We start from the raw sequence: 23081 nt of genomic DNA, 5'->3' as shown, positions 1-23081 counted from the left end.
ATGCACACTGACAGGTTATAAGCTTTGGGGGCATTCCTCAAAATAAAGAAACATTTCAGGAAGAAAAAAATATGAATGGAAAGTTTAAACAAAACGGACAAGAAGGAAGCAGTATCTGGGCAGTCTGACAGAATGAAGGGGACCAGGGCCTGCCACCATTAAAATATTTCTTACTGAATCTCAAAATATTCTATACTTGGCCCATTAATGTAAAAAGTCCATTTCTGGCAGAATTATCAAACTCATCACTAACAAGGTAAATTGGCAGCTTGGCATTTGAACACCATCAGGCCCCTCATAACCACGTGCAAACACAGAGGTCACTAATTTCATGTTGTGTGCAAAAAAACTCCCTTAGACAGAAGTGACTTAAAACAGGAGAGGAGATTTTATCCTAAAGTCTTAGGAATGGGAAATGTAGGAAGGCAGATTTTATATGGTTTTTGCTTTCTTTGATCCTTTCTTTTCAAGGGTAAACAATCTATCTTTAGGATTTGTATTAACAAATCGCCTTCCTTCCAGAAACATACACTTCTATGAGAGAGAACATAAAATAATAAAAGTTACAGAAACTACAAAAACTTATGTAAATGGTCTCAATGAAAGGGCAAAGGGGTCCCCTGTACCCAGTACCTTTGCCGAGTTATTAAAAAATGAAAACTTTGTTGCATTTCTTACAAAACAATGAGTATGCTTGGGAAATGAATTCAATATCATAAGCCCCAAACTTTTTCTATGTATCACTAAATTTAGCTTAAGCTGAAGAAGGGAGAGGTCACAGTTACAATGAAAAGTTTTTTCTCTCTACCTCCTCCTTCAGAAGTACTTCCCAGTATTTCCGAAAATTCAATTTGCATTCCACATCACTACCTAAAAACACAATTATGCTCATACCTCTCATAAGCTCAACAGAAATAAGAATGTTTTAGGCCTCGACAACCTGTAGCTTGATGAGTTTTTGCAAAATCCAGCTGCTTGTGGGAGGGGGAGCAGAAAGAGTAGAAGTCACACCTGGGAGGGAAAAATCTATCCTTGAATACAACATTAATATTAGGAGGATAAACTGAAATCTGAGCCTAGTGTTGTTTGGGGAACCACCATGAAAATACTTTGGATTATAAGCATCTCCACCAAAATCACACATTGTCCCTGACACGTAGGTACCAACGTGCTGAAAAGGTTGCATAAGCACATAAAGGAAGGGAGAGCTGCCTACAAAACTTTGCTTAGGTGTAGCCCATTCTTATCTCACAGCATAGGGACTGGCAGGAGTCATGTTTGGAAAGAGCTGGAGCTGTGCCACATTCAACAAGGCCCGATTTGGGGATGAATGGGCATGCCAGTGCCTAGCCATTCTGCCCTACACCTACTGGGTCACTGAGACACACCAGACCCACAGGGCCATGGGGCACAAGGGGTCCGGAAAGACCAGGGCCACTCCCTGCAAGGCAGACCTGAGATTTGCCACCTATATTTTTAGAGTTCAAAAAGCAGCAAAACAAAACAACATGGCCCAAGCAAGCCCAAAAGAAGCATTAGCGGGAGGTAAAGGTGGGAGGGAGAGGTGGCTGAGGCAGGGAAGGAGGGAAGAAAATGCTGCATGCCTCTGACCTTAGAAAAACCCTGGGAACTCTCCTCCTGCTGCCTTGGTCCATGGGGCTGGATCATACCTTTATTCTACAAATAAGAAACCAAAACTACTATGTTAACTTCACAGTTTTGTTTTCTTTATTTGGCTTCCAAACCTTAGGAGTATGAAATCAACCTTTTATTCTACAACTCTCCCTAAAAGAGGAAGGAGAAGAACAGGGACTCTCCTTTTTTTCTCTAAAGTTATTAACCCGTTTTCATCTTTTTGCAAACAAACTTCAGTTAAAACTTAAGTCAAATTTAAACATCTCAAGCTGCCCTTTTCCTTCTACTTAAAATTAATTCCACAACTTTTGGGGGAGGGAAAAACAAGAAACAGGAAAAAGAATATCAGCACACAGCTTTCTGCCATCTTCTCCTCACTGCTTTGGTAGTTTTAAGAAACCTCAAAGTTTACACAAACACAAAGCCAAAAGATGTCCAAAAGAAATACACAGCAAAGGCCGGTCACGGTGGCTCACACCTGTAATTCCAGGACTTTGGGAGGCCGAGGCGGGTAGATCACCTGAGGTCAGGCGTTCAAGACCAACCCTGCCAAGATGGTGAAACTCCATCTCTACTAAAAAGGTACAAAAATTAGCTGGTTGTGGTGGCACATGCCTGTAATCCCAGCTACTCGGGAGGCTGAGGCAGGAGAATCACTTGAACCCAGGAGACAGAGGTTGCAGTGAGCCAAGATTGAGCCACTGCACTCCAGACTGGGTGACAGGGCGAGACTACATCTCAAAAAAAAAAAAAAAAAAAAAAGAAGAAGAAAAGAAAAGAAAAATACACAGCAAGGCGGCCGGGTTCAGTGGCTCACACCTGTAATCCCAGCATTTTGGGAGGCTGAGGCAGGAGGATCACTTGAGGCCAGGAGTTAGAGACCAACCTGGCCAACATGGTGAAACCCCATCTCTACTACAAATATAAAAATGAGCTGGGTATGGTGGCAGGCACCTGTAATCCCAGCTACTCATGAGGCTGAAGCAGGAGAATCACTTGAACCCAGGTGGCAGAGGTTACAGTGAGCTAAGATCGTGCCACTGCACTCCAGCCAGAGCGAGACTCCATCTCAAAAAAAAAAAGAAAAAAGAAATACACAGCAAAGGAAAAAATTAATATTTACTTTTCCTTCTCCCACCAATTATTTAGCTTTCCTTAAGCCCAATTAACCTGACACAACCTTTTCTCACTCTTTCAAGCTCATCTATTTAAAAAATAGTACTACCTAAAATATCTGCACACCCTATTTCACAATCTTTTGATAAACTAGGAAATAAAAGAACATCTTGTTACTATAAACGTGTAATCCTCCCTTCTAAGAAAAAACACTTGTACCAAGTCCAGCTAACATGATCCATTAAGAACAACTAGTTCTTTCTTACAGGCTAACACTGACTAGACATGGAGAACTTGAACTTTAAAAATAAATACTCAACAATATTCCCAACATCTAGATGTTCAAACTGCTCACTAAATTATGCATTCCTAAGCACGCATCCATCTCTCTGTGGACACACCAGGAAAACGTCTCTCTAAATTATAACAGGATTGAGATAAAGACTGGAGAGCAATGAGTGCACTAAGAATCATCCTCCTCCCCTTAAGCACTCAATTACCACGTGCACCAACCATTCTTAGCGCCCTCCCAACCAATGGCTTCTCAGAGACTCTGAAACCACAACAAATGTGCAACCCGAAGCCACAGCTGTGGCCGACAAATGCCAGAAGCAAAATTCATGACACTTTATTTCAGTATTCGCACAGAAGCTTGGACAGGTGTGAGGAAGCATGGTACAATGATCTGAGGAACACCCAGCCTCTTCCCACACACACTCAAGCTTCCACCACACCTCCATTCCAGAAAACCACCAGAACCCCTACTTAAAAAATAATTTGAAGTGAATTTAAAATGCATTCTTGCTTATGACTAACAAGAACTGTGAGGTTCCTGAAAGCCAAGAACTTCTATTGCTCAAATCATGGAGCTAGGAGGAAGGCAGATGAGATGCAAAGTCTCCTAAGTGATGACGAATAAAGGAGTAACTGAAGAAATGTGAACACAAAGGGCATAGCTTACAATACTGTAAAAACTGGCGTAAATGGACTATTTGGCCTTAAGTTACACAAAAAATTCCAACCACAGCCTTTTCTAACCCCTTTTTTCGGTTCAAATCAACTTTATGAGGTGTAACTTACATACAAAAAACTGCACCCATTTTAAGCATATGCTTACACGAATTTGGGCAAATATATTTACACCAGTGTAAGCACCACCACAATTAAGATATAAAACATTTCATATTTCCCTGAAAAGTTCCCTTCTGCCCTTTTGCAGTCAACCTCCTCCAATCCCCATCACCCCTGGCAATCGCTGATCTGCTTCCTGTTGCCATAAGTTAGTTTTGCCTTTTCTAGAATTCCACAGAAATGGAATCAAACAATAGTTACTCTCCTGTTCAGGCATTTTTCTCTCACAATGTTTTTGACATTCATCCATGCTATGTATCTGTGGCGTGTTCCTTCTTATTGTAGAGCAGTATTCCCTTTGTACTGACATGTCACTATTTTCCAAACTTTTTTTTTTTTTTAACTAAAAAGAGGGTGGTGCTTAGCTTTAAAACAAATACATAAAACTTCCTAAGGATACTGTAATATTTTTCTCTCAAAGTAATCAGAACTTATAAGTAACTTTGCATAAAGTACAATCCCAAAATCTCGGCTTCAGAAACACGAAGTTTTGTTTTGTGTCACCTCCCTATACAATAACTGGCTCAATCAAATGGAAAGAAAAACGATAACTTGAGATGTTTTGTTTACAGCCAGCTCAAGATGTTATTTCAAGCTGCTGAAGAACTATGAGGAAACTGTATCCAAGCAAATTTTCACGTGCTGCTTCCTGAATGCCTGACCGAAAAGTGAACTTTATTTAGGACTTCAGTTTAATTTGGGTTCCAACCCTTCTGCTTTTTCCCGATGATTTAGAATTTTGGATTTCATGCTGACTCCCAGCTACCCCACCATCAGAAGGATGTAATGAGATTTCCCTTGAGGTGGGACTGCCCTGAGTTCTGTCTGGAAAAGAAAATAAATAGACCATTTAAATTTTGTGTAACCTAACTGCCCAAATGATGCACGACTGCTAGTGTTTCCAAGGGAATACAACTTGGGAAACTCTGTTCTAACAGGTAAGAAGTATAAACCTAGTAGTTTCAGGATGGCTGGCTGTCTACAACAGGCCTGGTTATTCTCAATGTCAGTGGACCATACTTATCCCAATGTGGGGTACAAAAATGAAAATAAACAGTTTCTAAAAGGTCACCCGATAAGTCCCAGCTACACCTGAGATGTGAAATGCTGTAACACTCCTGAGCCCCCATCTCCTTACTCATGCTTCAAACAGATCTTTACAAGTCACAAGGGCAGGCAGCAACATCTTCTAAAGGATGAGGCCTACCTACATGAGAAGGCTGTTGCCTGTCTACTCTGCCTCATTAACTAGTTTGGCACTCTGAGCCCACCACCAAGTGCTGGGCCTCAGTTTCGTCTGCTGTCAGGGGAGGCAGCTGAGCTAGGATGAGCTCTAACGTTATCTCCAATCTGAAAGCTGTCATATGAGGCTCAAAAAAGCGCCACAATCCCAATACTAAAATGAGAAAAGTTGCATATTTTTAAAACCATATTTGCAAGCAAGGCATCCAAAATTCTGACAAGAACATCAGTCTCAATTCTTCATTCCTAATTCTTGGCCATTGTAAACTCTAAATAAGTACTTTTCTTTTGTCTATCCATTACTTCTTTTCTTTCCTCTAATTTGAGTACAGGTTGAGTATCCCTCATCCAAATTACCTGGAAGTGTTTCAGATTTCAGATTTCTTCAGATTTTGGAATATTTGCATATACATAATAAAATATCTTAGGGATACGACCCAGGTTTAAACAGGAAATTCACTTATGTTTCATACACACCTCATACACATAGCCTGAAGATAATTTCATTTAGTATTTTAAATAATTTCGTGCACAGAACAAAGTTTTGACTGCAACCCCTTACATGAGATTGGATGTGAAATTTCCCACTTGTAGTGTCATGTCAACGCTCAAAAAGTTTCAGATTTTGGAGCATTTTGGATTTCAAATTTTCAAATTAGGGATGCTCAATCTGTATTATTTCTCAAAAAAAGGTGGGTGCTGGGTGTGGTGGCTCACGCTTGTAGTTCCAACTACTCAGGAGGCTGAGGTGGCAGGATCCTTTGAGCCCAGGAGTTCCAGTCTGCAGTGAGCATGCCACTGCACTCCAGCCTGCATGACAGAGTAAAGCCATCTCAAAAAAAAAAAAAGATTTAAATTAAATCCTATTAATGAATTCCAGTCTTCATATTTAACTTTATACAGCTATGTACCTGTGTTTGCCTGCATACTTATGTTTAAGGTTTTTCTATTAAGACATTGCACTGAACATGATATCCTTTAAGAATAACTCTCTTAATACCCATAACGTGATCGAGGATAAAAAAGTTTCTGGAAAAAAATAGCACCTGCTCTTGCAACAGTTCATCCTGGCAGCATGCTTTTGTTTTGATTATTCATGAAATTGCAGATTCACTCTTTAGCTTGACTAACATTCAGTAGGAAATAGTTGTGTGTTTTTAACATACTTACAATTGGAAGGCTCTATCTTAGAATCAGCAAAAGGCAACACTGTGTAATCCAAAAGTCCCCTAAATTTCCCATAAGGATCTGAAGAAGGCATTGGTTTCTTCAGAGACATCAGTCACAGGAACTCACATGAACAGCCAGTCACCCCTGCCTAACTCCTCCTCCTGCTCTTAATGGCAACTAAAGCTAAGGTTCCACCCCTGGGCTAGGCTGCAGGGGAGTGGACCTGCAAGTCTGCACTGGAAACCCGGAAAAGGCTGCCTGACTGGGGAATAATGCATGCACTCTAAGAACAAAAGCCTGCCTTAAACGAAGAACTTTCCAAGACAGTCAGGAATGGCAGGGCTGAGAGAATGCTGGCAGGAGTGTTTGTGCAAGCACACAGTCCTTCTTAGTACTGAATGTCCCCAGCACTTGGAGAGGAAGTAAACAAAGATTCGGGTTGTGCTTGTGTCTGTGTAGCCCAGGGCAGCCAAGGCCTGGCCCGGTCAAGACTCCCAGCTCCGGGGCAGGGGGTGCTTATGTCACAGAGCTCCAAAATGTGGGCTGCGTGTGCCCAGGAAAAATTATAAAGGCCAGTTTAAATACAGCCTATATTTCTCTCTACCACTTAGATTTTTTCTTTATTTTCAAAAACAATAATTTTCTGAAGTTAAGTAAAACTGGAACATGGAAAACAACTACTTGCGAAACAGTCCACAGGACTCCATGACAGCCTCCATTCTCCTCCTTAAGACGGATTTGCATCAAACTTCTCCATCACACTGGACCAAACACACTCTATTTTGTCTTAGGAAACCCTGAGGAACATGAATTTTTAAATGCTATACTGCAGAACCCATGCTTACCTAATAAATACTGAAGAACTAAGGTCATTACCTTCCATCAAAAAGTGTAAGTATTCCTTCAAGCCTTTCCATATTCCAGTTGCTTGAGAACAAACCATGTGGAGTTTTGTGGGTTTTTTGTCTAGTTGCAGAAAATAATCCCAGCACAGCAGAAAGCATGCTAAAGCTCTAGCATCCTGTTGAGGCTTGGAGTGAGAGGGCAAGGCCCAGTCAAGCTGTATTTTCTGTTTCTCCAGCCTACTATATTCTAGGAGGCCCAGCCCATTGTTTCCCAGTCAGCGAGGCACTGCAGCTTGACTCACCACAAAAACAGTTTAGTGTGTCTTGATATTTTAACTTTCTTCTTAACCTCTGCCTTTTGGGGAGTGAGAAGGAATCTAGGGGATATAAGGCAGAAGCAGTAGACCAGAGGAAGAAGGGAAGACCATGGTCTGTGTGTCTGCACGCATATCTCACTTTAAATAACAAATGCATTCTTTATAATTTTATAACTACAGTTGAATTTCTGAAATAGTATAACATTAATTAAAAGTTTTAAAATGTAAAAGCTCATTAAACAAATGTAATTGTGCAACTGCCTCCATTTACCTTTTTTAAGTCTTGATTTTTCATACAGTTTAGCTTTGAGAAAAAAAAAATACAACATCCAGTCAATGGTCTATGCAAATCAATCAGAAAACTAGCAAAAGGAACAAGCCCAAATGCAGAGAAAAACAAAAATTGAATTTTTCAATATACTGAATAGTTCAAAATAATTAAAAAACAACACACACTTTATGTACCTTTCTTGAACTTATCAACTTAAAGATGATAAAACACATTCGTAAATGAGATCATAAGCAATGCAACTGTTAGCAGATTATCACAGAACTTAGAGCTGTTAACTTAAAGTTGCCTTTGAAATTATGTTCATTTTTAGATGGAAGCTTACACTTAGGAAGCACGTTCCTTTTGCCTGACTGCAAACAGTGGGTATTAGGAAGGACGCTACACAGACAAGAAGCTAGAGGAGGAGGGAGGATGGGGGAGCCCTTCTCTAGTGCATGTCCCAGTTTGGAAACATGGGTCTGAGTCATCTCAAAGCGAAAGAATCCTTAAGTTTTCTATAAAAATATTTATGTGTGTCCTATGGCTGACTTAACACAATACAGGTGGGCAAAAGAAAAGTTCCAGGTTCCAGAACCAAATGTACCATCAGGGAAGTCAAGTAAGTACAGATAACCTCTGTGAGAAAAATTAAACATTTTGCCAAGGGTTTCTGATGACAATGCAAAAGCAGGAGAGTACATTGTACTTTAAACAATGCCTTGTCTGTTTGCAGGAACACAGACTGGTCTAAAACGAAGGGGAGAAAAAACAAGGCCAACACTGAGCCGGGGCTCTCACTTCAAAAGCAAGCCGTAGAACAAGTGTGTGGGGCGTGTGTGTGTGTATTTGTGTGTGCACACATACACATATATATATTTTTGCATGAATTTGCATAATACATGTGCCACAGGTGGGCACACAAAATTTCCACTGGCTGCCTGACACCTATTCCCATCAATCCCCCTAGCTGATGCTCCTCAACGAAACCACCTTACTCCCTTGAGCAATTTGGGACCGATTCTTCCCTAGAGAGCAGCAGGACCCCTTCATCTGTCACACAGAGGCTTCTCCCAGCCCTGAGCTCTTGTGAGCAACAGAGACCCTGGTAGAGGTGAGAAAACTAGGAAATGGAGTGAGCAGGCTGGGTTTATATTCACTCTGTCACTCAGAAGCTGGGTGAGCTTGGTCAACTTGGTCCACCAAATACCAACTGAACCAGTCATGGGCCAGACCCAGCTGTTAGCCTCAGTTTCTTCAGAAATTAAAAACGAATAGGCTGGGCATGGTGGCTCACACCTTTGAGAGGCACTTTGAGAGGCCAAGGTGAGAGGATTGCTTGAGCCCAGGAGTTCAAGACCAGTCTAGGCAACACAGCAAGGCCTCATCTCTACTAAAATAATAATAATAATAATAATAATAATAATAATAATAATAATAATAATAATATTTACGTTCAGGTTTATAGTGAGAATGGTGCTCAATAAATGTTAATGTAATTTCCTCACCAACTCCCATTCCCTGATGCCCTGCTTCATGAGAACAAGAGTCTTGTCTCATGCCCAGAATCACACTGGAGGGTCGAGTACACCAATACACTGCTGTTGGGGACCAACTACATACCAGCCCCCTGGTCTTCCCCTCAACCATCCCCTTCTGCTACGTCCCTGCCACTTCTCAGTATTGACAATTTCTTATGCCAGGGTTTTTGTCTTCTGCCCTTCTCTTCTGCTTCCTCAGTTTTCCTACCTGTCCAGGGTTTCCTCCCATAGGGTCCTCCAAGAACCTTCCCAAAGAAACTGATCCATACTGCTTCATCTGTAAATCCTAGTCACTCCTAAGTTTGGAGCCATTCATACTCAGTCTAGCTCATGTTACGTCAAAAAAATATTCACAAGGCCAGATAGATGAACATAGATACATCACTGAGGAAGGTACACTGAAACTAATGGACTGGCTCATTACCTCAGAGAACCAAGTTTCAAGCAGGAGAATGTCGTTTATTAGATCAGTGTTCTCTTTATGATGTCCCAAGAGAAAAAGTTTCTAAGTAACAGAAAAAGCCACGCTACTTCTGTTTTCATTTAAAGGCATAACATAAGTTTGGAAGCTAATCTTATGTCCCTTTTTGCTCCAGCTGCTATGAAACTCAAGAGTGAAATGTGTCACCTAATTCTGGTGCCTGTCAAGTACTATGTTGTCCTTCACCCTCAGGCTTCATCTCTTAATACTGCACATATTTTTATAAGCTGTCATTCCAAGGAGGAACATAAACAAGTTTGGAATTAACATCTTTGGGGAAAAGTGATCTTCGCTTTTCCAGAGGCTTGAGGCCTTCCAGGACTGGCAGGTCTGTGTCTATTTCAGAGGCAGTGAAAAAGTAGGAAGCCGGCTGAGAAAGTGGGATAGGAATGTGGTAGAAGCCGACCTTAGGCATGTGTCCCTCATCTCTCTTCCATGTACCCTTGAAGGAGACATAAGGGCAGCAGCCAGAGTGACAGCCACTGGGGCAGCACGCCCACCACTTTGCAGACGCCTCTAAGCACAGAGCGATTTTGTATGCTACTGAGCCCAGTGTGTTTTAAGTGGTTTAGAGTTTCATTCAGCTAAAATCTAGAAGGTTACAGACTAATGGAATAATAATAACGATACCTTTTCCTAAGGCACCCTAAGTAGCCTCTGAAGCACTCTAATGGGAGGTAAAAGGCATCTCTACATTGAAGGAAAGCATGGGGCACACCTTGCAGACTCCCAGCTGTCTCAGGATCAAGAGCCCAGCCCTGTTCTGCTGAAGCGCTGAGTAAGAGGGCAGAGGGCCTTCCTGGATAGTTAAGGAGCCATGGCCTCCCTGCCAACTTGGGCTCCAATCTCAATAATGCACAGCTGGTCCCCAGGCCCTGATCCACTTTGAGATCTTTCAGGCCTGGATTTTGGTGCTTTCAGCAAAATCTAAACTCCAAGTGGGAAACCTCTGCTCCCCAGGAGCTGGGAAAATAAATAAGATGGCAAAGATTCTTCATGGCTTGAAGATTTTGGAGATAGAGGCCGGGCGCGGTGGCTCACGCCTGTAATCCCAGCACTTTGGGAGGCCGAGGCGGGTGGATCACGAGGTCAGGAGATCGAGACCATCCTGGCTAACGGGGTGAAACCCCGTCTCTACTAAAAAAATACAAAAAATTAGCCGGGCGCGGTGGCGGGCGCCTGTAGTCCCAGCTACTCGGGAGGCTGAGGCAGGAGAATGGCGTGAACCCAGGAAGCGGAGCTTGCAGTGAGCCGAGATTGCGCCATTGCAGTCCGCAGTCCGGCCTGGGCAACAGAGCGAGACTCTGTCTCAAAAAAAAAAAAAAAAAAAAAAAAAAAAAAGATTTTGGAGATAGCAATTCTTGGTGGCAAAGCAAGTGCCAAAGCCATAGATCAGGAATTCAACTTCTCATTTCAAAACGGGCCAGCTCTACCACCCTGTGCAGGCTACCATGTTTCAACTGCATCACTATGAAATAAGGTAAGATTCTTGTCTTTTACCTCTCACTATAGTACTACTGAGGCTATTCAGAGCTCCTTAGGAAAGGCTATCATTATTGTTATTCTATTAGTCTACAACCTCCTAGATTTTAGCCAAATGAAAATCTAAACCATTTTAAATAAACATTGGACTCAGTATCAACCAAAATTGGCTCTACATCCTAGTAAATGCAAGTTTCCAGATGGCAAGATTCTAGGTGAAATCATCAAAATACTACATAAGTGCCACACATCATTACGTGCCTTCCACTCGTTAATTCACCCAACACTCTGCATGTTACGGATGAACCAAGTTATCTCCTTTACAAAAAGCAGACTCAGTATCCTTTCATGGTTACACAAACAAAAGCAAAGCCAACGCGAAAGGATGGACAACTCCCACCTCCCTGAAACCTGCAATCCATCATGCAGGGTCTGTTTTTTTATCACTTTTCCTTGAGGGTTGCAAAACTTCTGCAAGGAATTCTTTGATTACAGTAATACTTTTATCAACAAAAAAATGAACTCCAACAACACCCTGTATTGTCAGAAATTTCATTATCAAAGGTGAAAATAATGAATGATGGCAGAGATACATGCCAGGATGCACAGTTCAGCAAGACTTCCCTTCTTTCTAGGCAAGGTGGATTAGTGCCATCTCCCAAGAAAAACAACTTTCTGTTTGCATATCCCTATCACCCACTATACTGCAGACTCACCAGAAGCAATGCCCACTTGTATGTCCATCTTTATTCCATGCATTACCGTGCCGGCGGAATGAAACTAAATGGATGAATAACCATGGCTGTGACCTATGAAGCACGCCCCCATATGATCAAGTCACATGAGCCCTGGACATGTATACTTTTCCCTGAGTTTAGGCCTGGACCAGCACAGGCTGCAGAAGCCAGCACCACTGCCACCAACCCATACTGCTGAAGGACCAGAACTTCCAACCATCTGGGTGACCAACAAAACTCTGTCTACGAGAATTATACTCAGAAAATGTGCTGTATTTTTATTTACCTTTAAAGCACACACAGATTGCTTCACCACAGCACTGAAATCTTATTTGCCACAGACCTTTCAATAATCGGCAATGAGACTGAAATCTTGGTAACATTTAAAGTGACTAGAAGTGGCATTTTGGCTATCAGTGCCAAAGCCAAACAAATTCCTTATTCCAGAGACTGCCAAACTTCTCCAGTGCCTGAAGAAGAGCTTAGCATTATCAGACTTTAATAGTTACAGAAAGCTGCTTTGGGGGCTTAATTCCCAATAAAAGATATCCAAGTGTACCAAACATTATTTAATATATGGGTTGCCCAGCATTAAGACTGGTGAAACTGCAAATTTCTCTTGCAGCCAACTGCTGCCCATTAAAGCCACTGATCCAGCTTATGTGCCCACTCCTCTGGCACACAGTAACTAATTCTTGGAAACATTACATGCAATATACTTCTTTCCCAAAGTCACAACCATCAAAGTTACAACCACTCAGAAAACTCAGGCCCCATCACTCTGGATAATAGGGCTACCACCGGGCAATCCTTCTTCAAGGTTCAAAGGTTTATTAGGTAGCATTTTGGCTGCCTGTTGTCTCCCATAGCTACCTTTTCACCGAATGCCCCCACACCAGCCACAGTGAAATAAAAAGCCTAGTTCTTCCCTAGAAAATAAAGTAGTGAGTCTGAAGCGAGGACTGTATCCAGGCACATTACATATGTTCATGAGACAGCTGCAGATCTTCCTCAGCAAGAATGGTGGTGACCACGGAGTCAGTTCACAGGTAAGAGTGACCTCACTGGGTGGTTTCAAGTAACCTCCTTTACATCTTTGATCCTTAATATCCTCATCCAGAAAATAAAGGGTAAGTCAGATGACATCCAAGGCACTGCGTTTCAGGACTCAGGAGTTCCATCATCAATTTGGCATTAATTTGCATCTCAGATTAGTCCTTCCCCTAGAAAATCCCTCAGGAAGCAGTCCAGGTGAGATGAACAGGGGAACATTAGGGACATAAAGCAGGGCTGCTGAGAAGGGGGTACCGAGAGTCACATGGAAGGCAGTTACACCCAACAAGAATGTGAATAACAGACCCAGCAGGTGGACTGGCCTACCGTCCTGTTTTTCCTGGGTCAGAGTCAGCTTTCCCATCTTAATATACAGCTACACACTCAAAAACAAGAGAAAAAATACTCAAAGTCTGCCCTAAAAACTGTCTCCTTGGGGAAAAAAAAAAATAACCCCACTGCTTAACATCCCTTCAAAGCTGTCATCTACTATCTCCATGACAAAAACCTAACAAAGGGATTAAGGTAACCAGAATAAATGCATTATCTGACAAATGGTTCATTTATTTTCTTTTAGGAACATCTCTGTTTACATGGCAGGAAACACAAAATTTTTATTTTAAAAAGTCCAGCAACTGTTTAAAATGTTATTGGTCTGGACTGAGCAAAGGGATGTTACTGAGTTCTTACAACTGGATATAACTTACAACTGGATTCCCAGATGACTTCACAGATGAAAATCTGCCTCCTGGGACAACAACAACACAAGGCTGGGAACTCTTACTTCTATTCAGCCCAAGCCTGCTGGGCCTGCTTCCCACACCTAGCACATAAGATGTTTAGGATGGTCCCTAGATTTCACCTAAAAGCAGCTGGTAGGCACTTATTTAGGTGGCTAGTAAATAAATGGCCTATACCAAGCCAGTGAAGAAAGGGCCAATGTCCTTTATTCCTGTGAGGGTTAGGAGTGCAGGAAAAATACGTTGTCCCTATATGACAGTTAAAACTGTTTATATAATATTCCAAAAATAGCTGACATTGTTTGTAGGGCTTTTTTTCTTGGAGAGTATGCAGCCTATATTTTTAAACATTAAGAAAGCTTTATCTTTACCATTTATCTCAGAAAAAAAATGGAGACACTTTTTATTTTTCATGCAGATGAGAAATACCAGACAACCAAGTTTTTTTAAACAAAGTCTTGGCAGCGAGCCACAGATCATTTTTCATGAAAGGGAGATAATGGGGGAAAGATGGCATGGCAGTTTCCTATTTCTTTCCTCTCGTTCCTTTGCCCATCAAACACTGAAGACTTTGGGAGATTTAGTTCACAGACAGAATGCCTCTCTCACCTTGACAAAGAAGAAATGATTCATAATGCTGAACTCTTTGGAAGGCACTATCAAAACACAAAACTTTTTTTTTTAAACTACTCCAAAACCACAAAATAACTTTGCTTTCCTCCTTTTCCTTCCAGTATAGAAAGAACTGCAGTGGTTCACTTGCCTCCCCAAAGTGTCTCAATGGTTCCATGACTGAAACTGAAAGTAAATCTGCTTGCATTTTAAATTATAAAGCAGGCTCATTAATGATATTGCTTAATCAGCAGTACATATGTGTTGTTTGATAATGTTCTTTGAAGAAATTTTGTAACGGCTTAACTCTTCCAAACCCAGCCATCACCCCTAATATTTCATCACAATCACACAACTACAACCCTCCAGCCTCTGCCAAGGTATTCTGACTGGGCTGCCTTCCATGCTCCTCAACCCCCATTTGCCAATCCAGTTATTACCCCTGTCCTCCACAGTTTGGCCTCCTCCTACTGCTTCCATCTTTCAACATCTGCCTGTTACAGTCACCTTCTTAAACCACCATATACAATGTCCTGGGCCTAATTTAAACTGTGAAGCAGATCCAAAGAAAAGAATGAAAACTAGACCCAAATGACCCACTGGCTTCCAAGCACGATGTCGCTGTTCAACAAAAGATGATATACAATTAGTCTGCTTCAACTTCCACAGAAGGGGCAGGGGCAGGGAGAGAAAGCAATGACTACAGGAAAGTTTAAGTGCAGTTTAGAGTAAACTCATCTATGTGTCTCATTTCTGAATCTGTGAAAGATGAGCTGGGTCACCCTTGCTGGAATATCACATCTGCTCTAGAGCCTGGAGAAAAAAGGCAGTTTGAAGTGTCCCATCCCTAAGAATAACCACACTTCACAAGAGTACAAGTCTGAAAAGCCTTTTGTGTTCAATGTGAATGCTTGTCTACAACCTAACACTCAACTCTGTTCTTTCTATGGGTTCTCAAACAATGACAGCTACGTAGAACACATCTACAATTCTAACGGATCATGCAAACTCCCTTTCTCTTCTTTTAAACCAAAATGGGAAATATGATAGAAAAGAACAAGCCAGTGAGGTCTCAGTATTACAAAATCAAGATCCCTGAAGCTTGGATAAATTGACTTTGGAGTTCCCTTAGTCAAAGTGGAGACATACTGATACAGGAGTCCCACTTCTATCACTTACCAACTATGTGGCCTCAGCCAAGTCACTTAGCCGTTTCGTACCTCAGTTTCCTCATGAGTAAAGAGAAAGAGCTAAGGCTGGGCACGGTGGCTCACGCCTGTAATCCCAACACTTTGGGAGGCCAAGGTGGGTGGATCATGAGTTCAGGAGTTTGAAATGTGTAAACACCAGCCTGGCCAACATAGTGAAACCCCGCCTCTACTAATTAGCCGAGCACGATGGTGGGCACCTGTAATCCCAGCTACTTGGGAGCCTGAGGCAAGTAAATTGCTTGAACCCAGGAGGCAGAGGTTGTGGTGAGCCGAGATCACACCACTGCACTCCAGCCTGGGCAACAGAGTGAGACTCCATCTCAAAAAAAAAAAAAAAAAAAAAAATGAAGAAGAGCTAATACTCATAAAGCTCAACAGTGTCTGGCACACTGCTAATAAATGTTCAATTAACCGTAGCTTTTAGTTACAGCCATGAAAATGATAGATAAATCTAAGGTTATGACTGTATACATCACACCCATTCACACCAACACAGAAGGAAGATTTAGCCCTTTTTGCCCCTTTTGGGCAGGGAGGAATTAAGAGTTTTCAAACTTCAACTCTGTAATTCAGCAGCACACAGAAGTCAGGACACCGACCGTCTCAAAACCAGAGGCCTCCTCTATAGCCTCCTTAAGGAAATGTTCAAAGAGGGGTCAAGCAGGTGATGTCCCTCATTATCTCCAGGTCTGAGACACAGAAGCCAAGGACTGGGGGTTTCTCTGGGCTGAGAGACAAGCCTTCTGGACTGCTACTGGGCAGGCTTTATTCCTGGACTGCTACCAGATGTTTTACTCCTCTGTGAAAGTGATCCTGATGCCAGATCCTTTCAAGATACCCTCTCTCCTTGCCCCCAGAACATGCAAGCAGAGGCCCATGCTTTGGGAAAACCAAAATGGATGAGCAACTGACGTGTGTTGACACATTTCACCTGTGAGTGGTGATGGCTCTGGAAAGGATCCTACTGTCCCCAGCACTTCCAGTGCCCACCAGCTGTATCTGACTTCCAATGTGTACAAGTCCCTGGTACTCTCCTGGAGTTCAATTTGGAATGCTGTTCACAGTTAACAGCACAATATTTTGGACTTTCCTCCAAACTCTGACCCCAGACAGAAGTCCCTCAGTGCAGCTTTCCCTTCCATGTGGACCTTCTGATGTTGTTCCAACACCGAACCTGCCTTCTTGACCCTTCCCAGGAATCTTGGTGAATCTGAGGAAAGTGACTGGCCTGCCCTACCCACTCCCCCAAGAAGAAAACCCAGATCACTGTACCTCGGAGGCTTAGCACTCAAGCCATATCATCTTGGATATGGCTTCATGTACGAAAAGGAATGCCACTAACAGCAGAATGAACTGTAATCCAAAGTCATCCTGCTGGAGTTTGTTTTGTTTTGTTTTAGTGTTTATGAATCTCAGGCAACATTCTGAAACAGCTGGTAAAAGACCCTCACATGAACATCCAGAACTGGCCAACCCACTGTGTTTTGCACTATTTACATTCCTAAAGCCACCAGCTAGGTTTGATATAGCTAGCTGATCATGAGGCCCTGCTTAATGGACTACAGAGTCCAATGATACTGACAAGCAGCATACTTGTTTGGATCTGTACCTGGTTCCACCTGTGGTGCAAGAGGTCGTGCGCCTTTTAGGATCCTGAGCCGAGGTGAATGTCCCGCCTTACCTCTGACTTCATCACGAGAGCCGTGTCACTCTCCCCTTCACTGCACTGAGCCTCTCACACTGATTACACCCAGCACATTTTTATCCTATCTTTCTCTCACATGTCCCATGTCTGTCTGGGGATGAGTCAGTGCAACTACTCCCGTCTGATAGTGGTTTTAAAACTAGGAATGTCCTCAAAAGACCAAAACAAACAAGAGAAAAAGATCACACACAAAAAAAAACATGAATCCAACCTAAACACAAGTTCTGTGAACACAATATATGCACTAAGGTGAACATGTGGTTTCCTCTATACACCTGAGTGGATCCTTTATTGCTGTGATCCTGAGAGGTGAGTATCCTTGCCTTGTACAGAAGGCTACAGAGCAGCACAGATCTGTGGGAAGTCCAAAATACTCAAGGGGCTAGAGCTTTGTTATATTTCAACAGATACCACCATATTTTTTCCCCATTTTTGCCATGATTCTGAAGCCAAGATGGCAAGCGACGTTAAGATTTTTTACTCCTATCACCAGAATAATTCCACAGACTTAGCAAATGACTTTAAAAGAGTGGTTCTGAACCCTCAGCTTGCAGTAGAATCACCTGGAGGGCTTGTTAAAGAGTTTCTGATTTAGTCTGTGTGGGGTAAGCCTGAGAATCTGCGTGATGTTCCTACGTGATGTTGAAAGTTCCTATGTGATGCTGACGCTGCTGAGCTAGGGACCACTTGGAGAACCATTACCTTCAAACATCAGGATATGGTGGAATCTTCTGGTATATCAGATTAGGTTGCACAAAAGAACAGTAAGTTTATATCTCTCAGTTTTCAAGTCTTATGCAATGACTTAAAACAGCACCATCTCTTCTTAAAAATTCCTGAAAACTTCAAAATAACTTAACTAGGGTCCAGTAGAGACTAGAAAAATGAGTGGGAGTTGGAAACTAAAGACATCACATGCATTTATATTAAAGAAGAGGAGACCCCAGTTAAACACAGTTTGTTAAGTGATAATAATGCTCTTGCCCTTAGAAGCCAACCTTACTCTTTAATCCCAACTTTACAGCACTCCTTGTCATGTGGAGCTTCCTATGGAGGAGAGGGCTGAAATGCATCTAAAAGTCAGTACTAAAATAGCTGATAACTTCCACAGCCAAAATCTAATGTCTCTAAAATAGAGGCACTCAATCCTGGCTATACATTATCACCACGTGGGAAGCTTAAAAAACATAGATGCCCAGGCCCCATACCTAGAGATTCTGACCTAACTGCCTTAGGATGGTACCTAGGCACTGGTGGTTTTGAAAGCTCTCCAGGTGATTCTAAAATGCAGCCAGGGTTGAAAACCACTGATGTTGGAGTAAGGTGACCAGTGGATAGGAAAGAGAAGGGGAATAAGCCCTCTTTAGACAATGTGTAGTAGATATAAAAGGAAAAGACAAAAATGGAACAGCAGCCAGGAGTGCCCAGGACAAGTGAAACCGAGGTTACTATGTTAGATTCTGTAAAGCTGATCTAGAGATCAACTCAATGTTGGCTGTCTCAGGTTCAAAAATCAGAAATGGCTAGACGATCAAGGAAGTACCCTCGTGTGCCAAAGACTTGGTAACAGTCCAAAGAACATGCCAGGAAACCCTCTTAATAAGGTATACTATTTTTTTTTAGAAGAGTTACTAAGAACTTGGGGCAAAGAACTTTTAACTTTTCACAAATCATTTAAAGGTTCAACTTTGAAATCATATACCAAAAAAACAATAAAATTTCTCCCTCAGCAAAATTAACTGTTTTTTTAAACGGGGAAAGAAGAGGGAAGAGATTAAAGAAGTAACTCTCAGAGCACTCAATAGCTGCAATCATCCTCCCAGTAACCACACTGACAAATGGGTTTTCAAAGCTGTAAAATCATGTGATGCAAATGATAAAGTTATTTTCTTCTCTTCCTTCTTGGCCAGCACAGACACATGAGGTAACAAGCTGAAAAAAAAATTTTTGAAAGCTTTATGATCCTGTTTAAGGCAGAACAATGAACACAAAAGAAACTAGCTAGAACTACTCAGTCAATGGAAAGAGCAAGGACTCTCCAAGCAGGCAACAAAGATGTCAGGTGAAAATCATCTCTGCTCACATCAACAGGGCAAACACTGGGGGCCCAGAGATAAAAATCCAGATGTATTTCCACTGCATTATAAGCTAAACAGATTCATCCATTTAAATTTTTTTTTGGCTGATGAGAAAACTTAGATGTGGATAAAGCTGCATCTTAAAAATGAGAATTGTAATTTTTGATTGAAACATTAATCTGGTAAACAATTTATTTTAAAGCCAACTTAGAAGACACAGTTTTCACTAGCAGCACGTTACCTTTCCTAATTTAACACATGGCACCTTGCTTATTCAGCACAGGTTGCTGATAAATTAACTCAAAGCATTCACTGATTTTATGAGACTATTGGAATAAACTTCTCTTCCCAATAAGCCTCTTCCCAAGGAACACCTACTAAAAATTATGTCCACAGTCAAATGCTGAACTTGACCTTAACAAATGACATGAAGGGTAAGTATGATAAAACCTAAAATATGGCCCAAATCACCTAGTCTTTCAGTCTGAAATAAGGATCTTTCTTGTAAGGGGAGGAGACTAAATAGGACTGATTTAGATAATTCAGTTCAGCAGAGGACATGTGTCTATTCAAAAAGAAGGCTGTAAACTTATCTTTATTGGACAGGCTTGGAGAGAGAAGGGCTGATCAAGGCCACTAATTTCAAGAAACAGTATACTAGCTCACCTAGGAAATTATCTATCATGAGCTTAAGAGTCCATGTGTTCTAAAGCAAACATGCTCACACCAGCATCAGCTCGAAGATAACTTTAAAATAATCAGGCCTATGACATTTTCGTAAGTCAATTCCAGGCTTTTCAGGGTTACATAAATGATGCACCTCATCTAAGTGATCATTATTATTTTAAAGAAATTTGAAAGAATGTTTGAGTTCAGAGCTTCAGTTTTTACTTAAAATTATCTTGCTCAAAATGTTATTAGTCTGTGGGCCTCAGTCTGCATGACAGGTATATTCACACATGGCACATTAATACTGTTAATGGAACTATACTGAAAGTGAATAAAGATTTGTTCTCCTTTTCATCCTACCAACTGAAGTTTTTCTACTGCAAAAACAAAGACAACAAAAACCCGTATCCAATTCGGACTGAAATGCAAAAGTATGAAGGATGAGATAAACAAGTCCTTGGTTTGGAAATAAATGTTGGTGGGAAGCCCTAGAACAGCTATGTGTAAGATAAAAACTCTGGAAGACCCATCGCAACGCTTTTAAATTAGGTAGTTTTGTTTTGTTTTCAGTGATTTATCAACAGGAAATGTTCAAATGAAGAGATCTAAGGAAAGTGTTTTACTCTATGAAACCATCACAGTATCAGAAGAAAATAATTTACATCGAGGTTTTTTTTTCTTTTCTTTTTTTTTTTTTTAGGTATTAAGTAAAATAAAATAGGAAGAAAAGGGGGGAAGGTAAGCAGGAGGCTTTAAACATCACTCAGCCCAAGCTTAATATGAAATATGGAACCAAAGCAATTATGCTGATAATTTATGATGAAAGAAATATCATTTTTAAAAATCAATGATTAGGACACTTCAGGAAAAAAGTAGTTTTGTGATTGGAATTACCTGAATTAATGACTTAACTGTCCACTTGATCTTTTTAATGTAGTAAAAAGAGAGAACCAGTTTTCAAGGAGACAAGCTCAATTGTATTTAATTTTATGTCCTCCTTACACTTCAGGCTTGTACCCAGAGTTGTCCCTTTAAAAGTCCACAGTGGCACTGCCAACTTCTACTGCAGCTGCCTCCAGCCACACAGTCCTCCCCTGCATGCTGTTATACTCAGTTATCAGGTAGCATCCTGCTGCCTGCTCACGTTTATCACAGAGTTTCAGTCTATCCTCTGGACATTATCCAGACACTACTTACCTATCTTTACTATGAAACTGAGAGTTCTGTAATTTTTTTCCAACATACACAGAACAAAATGGGATAATTAGCATTCTATTCTGTTAACTACATTTTATCTTACGGCACTGCCTTCCTGTGGCCAATTAAAACCACCATTTTAGGTCTTATTCATACATATTTTTACCTTGAAGACAAAAGCAAGTAGGCTCTTCAGTAGAGATAAACACTAACCTGGCCAGCAACTTGCATTATGCAACATTTTCTGTCTCTATCTTGGCAGCCTGCTCTTAAACCCGTCAGTAACTGCACTGCAAAGAGACGACCACCTCACAAAATAATTTTAATATCTTTCATTATGATTTCTGATTTGGCAGCAAAACTTCTGCCAAGAACTCCTTGTAAATGTTTTTTTTTCCTGAAATCTGCTTTTCTTGATGTTGCTGCCTGCATTCATCTACGTGCTTGAAGCCTATAAAAAGCACAGATATCCTACTGTCCCAACACAGAAATTTCTGCGATAAGGCCCCATCCCAAAAGATTTCTACCTACCATGCGTCACTCTATTCTTCTAAATAATACACTGTGCCTCTGACCCATAGTAAACCATGGTCACACCTGGCAGTGACCAAAGAGAACTGCAGAATCACCAAACCAACAGGTTTCTGACAGAATTCTCAAGCCATTCCTACTCTCCCATTAAAGACCCAGGTACGCGCTAATTCTTCTTTTTTTTTTTTTTTTTTTTGAGACAGAGTCTCGCTCTGTCGCCCAGGCTGAAGTGCAGTGGCGTGATCTCAGCTCACTGCAACCTCCGCCCCTCCAGGTTTAAGCAGTTCTCTGCCTCAGCCTCCAGAGTAGCTGGGATTACAGGCATGTGCCACCACGCCCAGCTAATTTTTTGTATTTTTAGTAGAGACGGGATTTCACCATCTTGGTCAGGCTGGTCTTGAACTCCTGACCTCATGATCCACCTGCCTCGGCCTCCCAAAGTGCTGGGATTACAGGCGTGAGCCGCCGCGCCCGGCCAATATCATAAGTCTTTATTATTATCATTACTTATTTATTTTTGAGATGAAGTCTTGCTCTTGTCCCCCAGGCTGGAGTAAAATGGTGTGATCTTGGCTCACTGCAACCTCCACCTCCCGGGTTCAAGCAATTCTCCTGCTTCAGCCTCCTGAGTAGCTGGGATTACAGGCGCCAGCCACCACACCCAGCTAATTTTTTGTATTTTTAGTAGAGACGAGATTTCACCATGTTGGCCAGGCTGGTCTCAAACTCCTCACCTCAGGTGATGCTCCCGCCTCAGCCTACCAAAGTGCTGGTATTACAGGCGTGAACCACTGTGCCCAGCTAATTCTTAAAAGTTATTTAGCTCATGCAAAAATCAAGGGAAGGAGCCTAAATAACGGAGCCAAGTTCACCTCCCACCAGCACACAGAGAGGTGCTGTTACTCAGAGTCAGCACAACTCTGAAGATGAGCATTCAAGATGGAGTCAGAAGGATTAAGGTGGGGATTCCTGGGGATAGAGGTAAAGAATGCAGCATAGAGTAGAAACTTTTTAAATGGCAGCTCTTTATTTACTTACTTACTTACTTATTTATTTATTTTTGAGACAGAGTCTCTCTCTGTCACCCAGGCTGGAGTGCAGTGGCATGATCTCGGCTCACTGCAAGCTCCGCCTCCTGGGTTCACGCCATTCTACTGCCTCAGCCTCCCGAGTAGCTGGTACTACAGGTGCCCGCCACCACACCCAGCTAATTTTTTTGTATTTTTAGTAGAGATGGGGTTTCACCGTGTTAGCCAGGATGGTCTCGATCTCCTGACCTCGTGATCCGCCCACCTCAGTCTCCCAAAGTGCTGGGATTAC

The 23081-nt window shown here is 41.7% G+C and overlaps 1 protein-coding gene across 13 annotated transcripts in view, besides 1 other annotated feature; it reads right to left on the bottom strand.

Annotated features, from left to right (window-relative positions):
• Window positions 1–23081, bottom strand: part of FOXO3 (forkhead box O3) — a 124950-nt gene that overhangs the window by 88665 nt on the left and 13204 nt on the right. For 2 of the 13 annotated variants that reach the window (NM_001415141.1, NM_001415147.1), the window contains exon 1: window positions 6295–6444. The exons of 9 other annotated variants lie outside the window; for them this stretch is intronic. The gene's annotated coding sequence lies outside the window, so the exon portion shown is untranslated. Of the gene's footprint in view, window positions 1–6294; window positions 6445–7139; window positions 7338–23081 lie in introns of those variants that run through there. 2 more of the 13 variants (NM_001415148.1, NM_001415149.1) reach the window with 2 other exon arrangements.
• Window positions 8732–8933: a silencer, noted in NCBI's record as "fragment chr6:108908380-108908581 (GRCh37/hg19 assembly coordinates)". NCBI's record gives its function as "represses an EF-1alpha promoter that drives an FKBP-Casp9 reporter gene in an ReSE screen in K562 erythroleukemia cells {active_cell/tissue: K562}" and the evidence as "EXISTENCE:reporter gene assay evidence [ECO:0000049][PMID:32094911]".

This window comes from Homo sapiens, chromosome 6 (assembly GCF_000001405.40).
Source record: "Homo sapiens chromosome 6, GRCh38.p14 Primary Assembly".
NCBI lineage: Eukaryota > Metazoa > Chordata > Mammalia > Primates > Hominidae > Homo > Homo sapiens.
The sequence above is the reverse complement of the archived record's forward strand: the minus strand, read 5'-3'. Positions and strand labels throughout refer to the sequence as shown.